Here is a 10,405-nt window from a genome sequence, read left to right on the forward strand (position 1 = left end):
AGTAACACTTACTTCACAGAGTTCTAGACAATGGATATGAAGAAGCTACTCTGTAACTGCAGTGGCTCTAGGTTTTGTTTACTCAATTTTGTTCCTGAGATTGGAGTCTGATTATGAAGAACCTTTCTAGATTCAATAGATGGATTGGCTTAACATAAAAGGGGAGTTTATTGGCTCATATGGCATCACTAAAAATTCCAGAAGAGCATATGCTTCAGGAACAGTTTGATCAAGGAGCTGACATGTTATCAGCAGCTGTCTATCTTCTGCATAGCGTTTTCATTCTACCTTCATATGGTGTCAGTATGACTTTCAGCAACTTTAGACCTGTAGTCACCTATGTTTACTCCAAAGAAAAAGAGAGTATCTCTTTCAGGTAGTTTCTGTACAAACCCTAGGATTTACTCTAAATTGGACCAATTTGGATGACATATCCATGCCTGTCTTTGACATGTCCTGACCTGATCATGAGGCTAAAGGGACTGCCCCAACTTGAATCACATGATTCATCCCCAGAGCCTGGGTGAGACCCTTGAACCACAAGTAACAGAAGTGGCAAAGGATTTGGGATATTATAAGCTAAAGAAGTGGGCTGGGCTCTGGATGATACATACTGTCCATTCTAGGGTCACTTATGTTTTTGAGAAGATGTCATTTTATCCTTAGTTTCCCCTACTCAATAGAGATAGCTTTTATGGAAGAAACTTTGTCCTTTTGTTTTAAAATAATCTTCTCCCTCCCTTTGTTTATCTGAAGCTCATAATTATAACATGGTGTATGTCTTTCCTTTCTTTCTGGCAAATTTTTTTTCTCCATCTGTTTTTTATTGAATGATGTATGGGAAAGCCACATTTTCCTAGCTAGGAAAGCTTGGTAAGCTATTCTCAATGTCTCTATGCATTCTGTTTAACACATTCTTATTTTTAGCTTTCTGGGAAGATTTATACATGTGATTGTAGCCAGTATTAGCTTTTTAAACTCTTTCTTAGAAAATTTAAAGCTGCATTTATCCCTGAATACTTTTCCATGGCTACTTAGGATATTGTTCTAAATATGTAAAATTTTAGCTCATGTAGATGTGGTTTTAAACATTTTATGGACATTAACATGGGTGCATATGTATTTTTCTCTAGCTAAATTCATTTATATTTACTTATTTTGATACTAATATTAAATGCAGATAAAGAAAACTTAAATAACATGTTTTCTTTCCTGAATAAGGCTGAAAACCTATCACAGATAACCTCTTAGGTTTTGAAGTATCAGGACTACCAGAGAAAAAGAAAAAACATTCACTTTTAAAGCTTATACTTTAAAAGTATTATATGGCATACCATCATACTCTACAGTTTCAAGTGATAAAGCTGAATAATTCAATTTTAGAAGGAAGCACTGGAATCTTTAATCTTTATCACAGTTCATTGTTACTCTTTGTAAACTTCACCTGGAAGAGAATAAGATAATCAGATTGTCACTGGTGTACAGTTTTTCTGTTACATTTTAAAATCCTTATAGAAGAAAGTTTTGGCATTTTGTTTTTGGATAGTTTTGTATTTTGATTTGGTAGTCTCAGTAATTAATGCTTTTGTGATTACGTTAAGTATTTGTGACTAAACGCATGAATAGCTCAACTGACCAAAATCATTTCCTTTTTAATAAAAATGTAATCTTTTTTTCTTTTTTAGTTCATTGAGTTGCTTTCACTCAGTTGTCTTTTCAAGATCCAAAGTTAATAAAGAAGATCCTTTGGTTCACTTTGCTTTTGCTACCCTATGCTTGAAAACAGTAATAATTGGGTGGCGTCTTCCTGGATAATTTATTATGTGGATGGGAGATAACACCCCAGATAAAAACCCTCCTCAGTCCCTGCTTCCACTACTCTGTGAGATCCTTTGGCAGTTTGGTAGGAGAAAACAATTGGAAAGCTTCTCATGAATCCTCCTTACCTAAACCCACTATGTACAAAAATCAGGTGTTGAAAGGTACTTCTGTACTACTAGATTTTATATATTTTCTTTAAAGCCCAGATCCACCAATTACTCTCATGTAGCCTTGTAGAATTCTGTAATTTTTCTGTCCTAATTTTTCTTATCTCCAAAATTGAGATTAAAATAAAACTTTTAGGGCTATGATTGGGATTAAAGGAGTTACATGTATGATATTTAGAAGAGTGTTTGGTAGATAGTAAGCACTCTGTAAATGTTAATCATTATTATGGAATGGAGTATACCTTGGCAGCTAAGAGCTAAGGCTCTGGAGTCAAACTTGCTTTATTTCATACTATTTCTGCCCTTAAGCAAGCTACTTAATTTCCCTAAGCCATAATTCTCTCAATTGTAAAATTGGTATAATAATGGTATCAAAGTTGAAAGGTCGTTGTGAATTTAAATAAGGTAATATGCACAAGGCTCTTAGAATAATACCTGGCACATGCAATCACTGCACAAATATAACCTATTATTATCATTAACAGCATCTGTGTTGTATTATAAACTCCAGAAGAGCACATAGAAGACATTTACTTAATTCAATTGGTGTAGATTCTAAAAGAGAAACTCCTGTGAATAAATACCTCCAAATAATTAGATTTAAAATTTGGATTAGTCATGCTTTTCTTTTTTACTTCACCACCCAGTATTATGGTAAGTGGTTGAATACCACTAACAAATATAAGTAAACACATGTATACTAAATATGAAACAGTTAAATAACAAAGCCCTGTGTTAGACAGAAGTCTCAACTCCTAGAGAAAATGGATCCAGAGACAGTAAATATTTGTTTCAAGAGATAGGAAATAACCATAAAAGAATGGAGGAAAGTGTCAGAGGATTCCCTCAGCACAGACAAGAGTTTATTCACTTAAGAATTACTCCTGCAGTAGCATACCCCAGAAGATGTTCACAAACATTCAAAGAGTTTCTATTGGGCAGCCCCAACTACTATAGTTTCTGGGTTGTGCATATTGGTGCAAAAGTATCTAGAAAGAGAAAAATAAATGTTACTCTAAAAGTGGTAGAAATACATTGATAAACCATGTATAGATGAGGCACTAAACCCTTACTCTGTTCATTAAACTTTGAGCAACTGCAGACAATAATATTTATTACGTATTACTATTATTTTTTGCAATTGTTGTATCAGCATTGGCATCAGGAAAATGACCTGCATGGTGTGAATTAGCTTGAAGAAAACAAAACCCCCAAACACCAAAAAGTTAATGCAGGCTGGAACCTGCTGGAATTACCTAAGGAGAACAAGATCAGGACCAGGGGAGTAATATGACTCAAGTCATTCATGACCAAAAGCTTCATAATCTCTAGTGGGTACTTACTACATCCCAGGTACTGTGCCAAGTGCTTTAGATATATTATTTCATTTAATCTTCCCTGCAACCTTTTAGGCACTATTGCTGGCAGTCCCATTTTGTAGTTGAATAATTTTTTCAAGGCTAGGAATGGTAGAGCTGGGGTGGAAATCCAGGCATTCTGAATCCAGGGTCCATTTTATAACAGTTGCTACATATTTCATATCATTCCATTATAGAACAGAACTTTACATTATTTTTTTAAAAAACATTCTGTAGTTATAGTCTTGTGCGATGGTTTGAATATTTGTCCCTTCCAAAACACATGCTGAAACTTAATCCCCAATGTGGCAGTATGGAAAAGCGGGGTGTTTAAGAGACTCGGAGTTCATGAAAAAATTAGTCTATTCATTAATTTAAGTATTAATGGATTAATGAAATAATGGATTAATGAGTTATTATGGGAGTGGGACTGGTGGCTTTATAAGAAGAGAAAGAGAGACCTGAGATAGCACACTCAGCCTCCTCACCATGTGATACCTTGCACCACCTTGGAACTGCAGAGTCTCCACCATCAAGAAGGCCCTACAAGAAGTGACCTCTCAACCTTTGACTTCTCAGCCTCCATAACTGTAAGAAATAAATTCCTTTCTTTATAAATTACACAGTTTCAAATATTACATAATAAGCAACAGGCAACACACTAAGACACTTTGCTTAAGTTGTTAATGAACTACTTCGAATTAACTTTACAATGTAGGTTAAGTTCCCAGATAAATTCTTCTGTGGTTGTTATAAAGTCCTGAGTTAAAAACATTGATACCCAAGTGAAGGGGGAGGACCAGCAGCACTGTCAGCTTGAGGTTGTGGTCCTGTTTAGGGTAAACAATGGACTGATGAACTAGCTGGGGATTTAACAACGATTTGCCAGGAGTGAAACAGTCATAGGGTATGAGAAGCTCTCCATATATCCCAGATTGACTAAAGGCTCTGTGCATGTGCAGCAGAGACAGAAATGGGCTCAAGCCCCCCTCCCCACATTCCTGGATGACAAGCCTTAAGCACGTACATAGAGAGGACTCAAAAGATTTTGGTGGGAAGTAAAAGCTGAGGAAGTCTTGAAAATGGCATGCACTTTGAATCTGTTCTTCAGGCAACACACAGATCCATCAGCAGAGTGGAAGCCTTGCTGGCCTGAGGTTTCTGAGCACAACCTGTGAAAAATCTTTGCATGAACACTAAGCTATGTAAATATATCAGTGATTTCTGGAAAACCAGGCTTGGCCATAAAAGCAAGAAAAAAAAAAAAAAGAATGAGCAGAGACGTTATGACTGAGACACATTTTACAGATTTAGTCTAGACTAGTTATTAAACAATCAGCAACACAATAAGCCTCAGAGAGTAAATAAAAATCCAGAGTTTCTGCAGTATATTATCTAAAATGTCCATTATTCAACAAAAAATTACAAGATATGCAAGAAAACAAGTGAGACCTATGCCCAGGAAAAAAACAGTTAATTGAAAATCTCTGGATTTCTCCAGATTTTGCATTTAGCTGAGAAAGACTTTAAAGCAAGTATGATGACAATATTCAACTATGTAAACAAAATCATGCTTATAGAATGAAATTAATGTATGATGATAATGACTCAATAAACAAAAAATACGAGGACATAGAAATTATGTTAAAAAACAGAAATCCTGGAGATGAAAAGTACAATAAGTGAAATGAAAATTTTACTAAAGGCATTTAATAGGAGACTTAACAAGTCAGAAGGGAGTTAATTAAAGTTATCCAATCTGAAAAACAGAGACAGAAGTAATTGAAGAAAGTGAACAGAGCCTAAGAAAACAATGGGACAATATAAAGTATACATACAATGAGAATCCCAGAGAGAGAGGTGATAAAGAGACAGAAATAATATTTCAAAAAACAATAGCTGAAAAAGAAAATGAAAAATAAAAAAGGTGGAGAGAATTAATTGTCCACAGAAATGTCTTATAAAAAATACTAAAAAATTTTTTTTGATTTTTATTTTACTTTTCAGCTCAACAATTTCCTTTATGTAATTAAAGAAAATCTTTTAGTCTGAAAGAAAGTGGCACCAGAGAGTAACCACCAGAGAAATCCACCAGGGAAATGAGAAGTGAATGGTAATTATATGGATAAATATAAAAGCTTCTAATAATACTGTATTAATATTTTTACTCATTTCTTTTTTGAACTCCTTCAAAATACATAAGGTTGCACAAAACACTAATTATAACACTGTATTGTGGAGTTTACAACATATATAGAGATAATATATATAACAATATTAGCACAAAGGAGTGGAGAGGAAAAGGAGATATATTGGAGCAAAGATTCTATATTTTACCAGAATTAAGTCAGTATTATTTTGAAGGAAATTATGATAAGTTAAAATGCATTTCGTAATTGCTGGAGTCACCACTAAGAAGATAGCTAAAATATAGTAAAAAAAAAAAGCAGAGGAATTAAAATGGTTATACATACACAAGCACACACATATACATGTATATACATGTCTATATACATCTAGTGCCTAATTTTGTGAAAGTGTGTGTGTGTTTATATATATATGTATAGTGCCTATAAGCTAGGCACTAAATGAACAATGTTGAAAAAAGACACAAGACATATAGAAATCAAATCGAAAAATGCAGGCACAAATCCAAACACAGTAATAATTATATTAAATGTGAATGGACCAAACACATTACTTAAGAAACAAAGATTGTCAGATTGGATAAAAATACAAGAAACATGCTGTATGTAAGAGACATATCTTGGATTCAAGGACATGAATATGTTGGAAGTAAAAGGAGGAAAAAGATATATCATCCATAAAGTAACCATAAGAGAGATGGTTATATTAATGTCAGATAAAACAGAAGTTACAATAAGAAATTTTACTAAAGGCAAGGAAGGACATTGTGTAGTTATGAAAGGCAAAATACAATCATGAAGGTATAATAATTATAGATGTATATGTAACTAATAACACAGCCATACTTGAAAGAAAGTGTGATAAAATTAAGATGAGGAAAAGGTAATTTAAGAATAATAATTGGAGATTTAATTACTGTATTCTCAAAAACTAATGGACCAACTAGACAGAAAATCAGCAAGGTTAAAAAAAGCTAGAACAACATTATCAAACAGCTCAATCTAACTAATATACATACTGAGTAACTACAGAATACACATTCTTTTCAGGTGCACATATAAAATTCTTCAGGATAGGCCATATTCTGGGCCACAAAACAAGGCTCAATTTAAAAACTATTGAAATCATAAGTAGGTTCTCTGACCACTGCGGAATTTGATTACACCTCTGCAACAACAAAAATCAGAGAAACTTGTACACATATCTCAAAATTAACCTTCTATTTAACCCACGGGTGAAAGAAGAAATAAAAATGGAAATTTAAAAGTATTTTGAACTGAATGGAAACGAAAATACAACATATCAAAATTTAGTTAAAGCAATGTTTAGACCAAGAGGGCTTAGCAAGGTTTATAAAATCTGCAGTTGAAATCTGAAAGCTTGCAGCTTGTTCGTGAAGTGTGTGTGGTTTAAACATCAACGACAGGATTTTCTGTTTAAGTCATGACTTTATAATGCTATGAGTGGGTGCCTGCATTAGGTGTCGTAACATTTAAATAGATTGTCTATGCTAATATCATCCTTTAAAGATAAAAATTTAAGAAACATTTGTGCTTTCCCCAAAATATCCTTAAACTTCAGTGTTTAATCACAAGTTTCAACAGGCAAAGATTTTAAAAACTATGAGGTACTGAAATAAAACCAGAAATTCTGCAGTATTGATGAGTTATGATGAATGTAAGTTTGGCTGGTATATAAGAATTTATAAAATTTTATGTTTTGACAGTTCAATCTGAAGGTAACACACATTTTCAGATGTTGTTTTCAGAAAAAAATAAATAGAAGAGACTCCTGAATGTTTATTTGATACATTTATTTGGAATCTTTCATAATTCAAATGTTAAGTGCTTAGAAAAAAAATTTATAAATTAGGAAGTTATCTACAAATTAGACATTGGTCTTGGCCAAATGCCTAGTTTCTGCTTAAATATATTTCTTTTCAGTCAATTTCTTCTTCTATGCATAATTTCATCTTTATATAATTGTAATCATGTTACATAAGTGTTAAATAGCTTTCTTCAATTAATTATGATTTTTTTAATGTTATTACATAGACTTCTTAAGCCGTTGTGTGGAATAGTGGGATAATTATTGAGAGCAGTTTCCATAGTTTACTTAACTATTCCTGTACTACTGATCATTTAGACAATTTTCAGACTTCTACAGATATATACATTAGCCTTTGCTGGTATTAACATTATTTCATCAAGTTAAACTTTAGTTAGTGGATACTTTATCATTTTGATACATATTGCCAAACTGTCCACAAGATACTATTTTACATTTTACATCAGCTTATTTTGTTGTTTGTTGTTTATGTCCTGTGACTGTTGAATGTTTCTTGTCTTTGCATTTCTCTCATTAATTTGTAGGTCACTTACATGAATAAACTGTGAAACACTTGGTACAAAAGTGTTTGACAGCCATTGTGTGGAATAGTGAGATAATTATTATCTCACCATTTCATAATCTGTTCTTTAACAGATAACTTGATTTTGCCAGATAAATTTTCACTTTTTTATCAAGTCAAATCTTTAAATTATTTTTATTTTTCTAGGTTTTTTTTTTTTTTTTTTTTGAGACGGAGTGTCACTCTGTCACCCAGGCTGGAGTGCAGTGGCCTAATCTCAGCTCACTGCAAACTTCGCCTCCTGAGTTTAAGTGATTCTCCTGCCTCAGCCTCCCGAGTATCTGAGACTACAGGCGCCTGCCACCATGCCTGGCTAATTTTTGTATTTTTAGTAGAGATGGGTTTCACCATATTGGCCAGGCTGGTCTCCAACTCCTGACCCTGTGATCTGCCCGCCTCAGCCTCCCAAAGTGCTGGGATTACAGGCATGAGCCCCGCGCCGGGCCTTCTGAGTCTTTTTTTTTTTTTTAAATATATTTTTTTAATCAACTTTGTGAAAACTCCTTATAAAGGGTTGATAACTATTGTATCCTCTTTTAAGTTTTCTATGTTTTGTTTTGGAGTTTACTCTATTTTACTGCATGGTGTTGAGTTGAAGAAATAACATTTTTTTCATAAAATTACTCATAAATTATTCCAAGGCCATTTGCTTCATAATTTTTTCGTCTCTGTGAATTTCTGATAACACTCTTATCATTTGCAAAATTTTTACATGTAATAAAATTTGTTTCTGAGCTATTTATAATTTTTTATTAACATGTTTGTCTATTCTTGCTCTAGTACAAAAATATTTCTGAAGTCCATTTGAGAAAACAAATGGGTAAAAACAGCAGGGGGACAAAAACCCCTAGGAATTGTGTTTACTTGACTTTCCACTGATTTTCAGTCCATGCCTAGAACAGTGCTCTGCACCTGATAGACACTGAGTAAAGATTAGTTGCTAATTGAATGAATAAAAAATAAGTTCAGTAGCTGAGACCAACTTAGCATGCTTTTGAAACTTTTAGACTGAATATTATCCTTCAGTGATATTTTCTCAATATTTCTCTCAGTTGATTTCTCAATAACCTATAACTAGAGATTGCATTTTGATGAGGACCTGGATGATGGCTGTATAAATCCATATTCATGCTGCTATAAAGAACTACCTGAGACTGGATAATTTATGAAGAAAAGAGGTTTAATTGACTCACAGTTCTGAAGGCTTAACAGGAAGCATGACTGGGAGGCCTCAGGAAACTTACAATCGTGGTAGAAGGCGAAGAGGAAGCAAGCACGTCTTACCATGGCAGAGGAGAAGAGAGAGAAAGAGAAGGGGGAGGTGCCACACAGTTTCAAATGGTGAGATCTTGTGAGAACTCACTCACTATTATGAGAACAGCAAGGGGAAAATCTGTTACCATGATCCAGTCACCTTCCACCACGCCCCTCCTCCAATTCTACAGGAGATTTGTGTGGGGACACAAATCCAAACCATATCAATGGCAATGGGATTACTGGCTGACAGTGGATTTCTGGTGGACAGGGATAAATTTGTCACCTTGTTGCATGACTTGAATTTAACCTGGATTCTCACCTAATGGAAGGCCTTTTGGTGAAACGCCATTTTAGCTTTACAAAGAGGTATAGGTGGTAGGAATAGCAGAAATCGTGGTATATTCATCTGCAAAAGTTTTTATGAATTTTCCCAAATAATGTTTTATAGAACACTGTAAGTGGTATATATTCCATTTTCCAGTAGCATTTGGGATATCTAAACATGGGACAAATGCATAGTTATATTAAGAAATTTAAGCAGCAGAAAATATGGGTCAAGGCCAGGCATGGTGGCTCACACCTGTAATCCCAGCACTTTGGGAGGCTCAGGAGGACGGATCACCTGAGGTCAAGAGTTCAAGACCAGCCTGGCTAACAAGGGAAACCCTGTCTCTACTGAAAACATACAAAAATTAACCGGGCCTGGTGGCACGTGCCTGTAATCCCAGCTACTTGGGAGGGGGAAGCATGAGAATCACTTGATCCTGGGAGGCAGAGGTTGTAGGAAGCCGAGACTGCACCACTGCACTCCAGTCTGGGCAATAAAGCAAGACTCTGTCACCAAAAAAAAAAAAAAAAAAAAAAAAAGAAAAAAAAAAATATGGGTCAAATATAAATCTACGCTAAGAACCTTAGTTAAACGAAAATCACATATTACATAATTACCACACATTAAGTATACAGGCAAATTTATGGATAGCCATTGGCAGCCATAAATAAATAATAGCAATTCCTTTTAGCAATATATAAAATTTGTAATTGTTTTTGGTTGTCACCATGACCTCACATTTTTCATTTTTGGGAATTTCTTTGTCTTTGTCTGTTTGTGTTGCTGTAAAAGAATGCTAGAGGCTGGGTAATTTATAAAGAAAAGAAGTTTATTTGGATCATGGTTTTGCAGGTTGTACAAGAAGCATGGTACTGGCATCTGTATCTCGTGAGGGCCCAGGAAGCTTCCACTCATG

The 10,405-nt window shown here is 34.3% G+C and overlaps 1 long non-coding RNA gene across 1 annotated transcript; it reads left to right on the top strand.

Annotated features, from left to right (window-relative positions):
* Positions 1 to 3,532: 3,532 nt before the first annotated feature.
* Positions 3,533 to 9,091, top strand: LOC105377814 (uncharacterized). The gene is made up of 3 exons (XR_941875.2): positions 3,533 to 3,936; positions 5,354 to 5,459; positions 8,957 to 9,091. It is a non-coding gene; the product is annotated as an uncharacterized LOC105377814 (long non-coding RNA).
* Positions 9,092 to 10,405: the final 1,314 nt, after the last annotated feature.

This window comes from Homo sapiens, chromosome 13 (genome assembly GCF_000001405.40).
Source record: "Homo sapiens chromosome 13, GRCh38.p14 Primary Assembly".
Classification (NCBI taxonomy): Eukaryota; Metazoa; Chordata; class Mammalia; order Primates; family Hominidae; genus Homo; species Homo sapiens.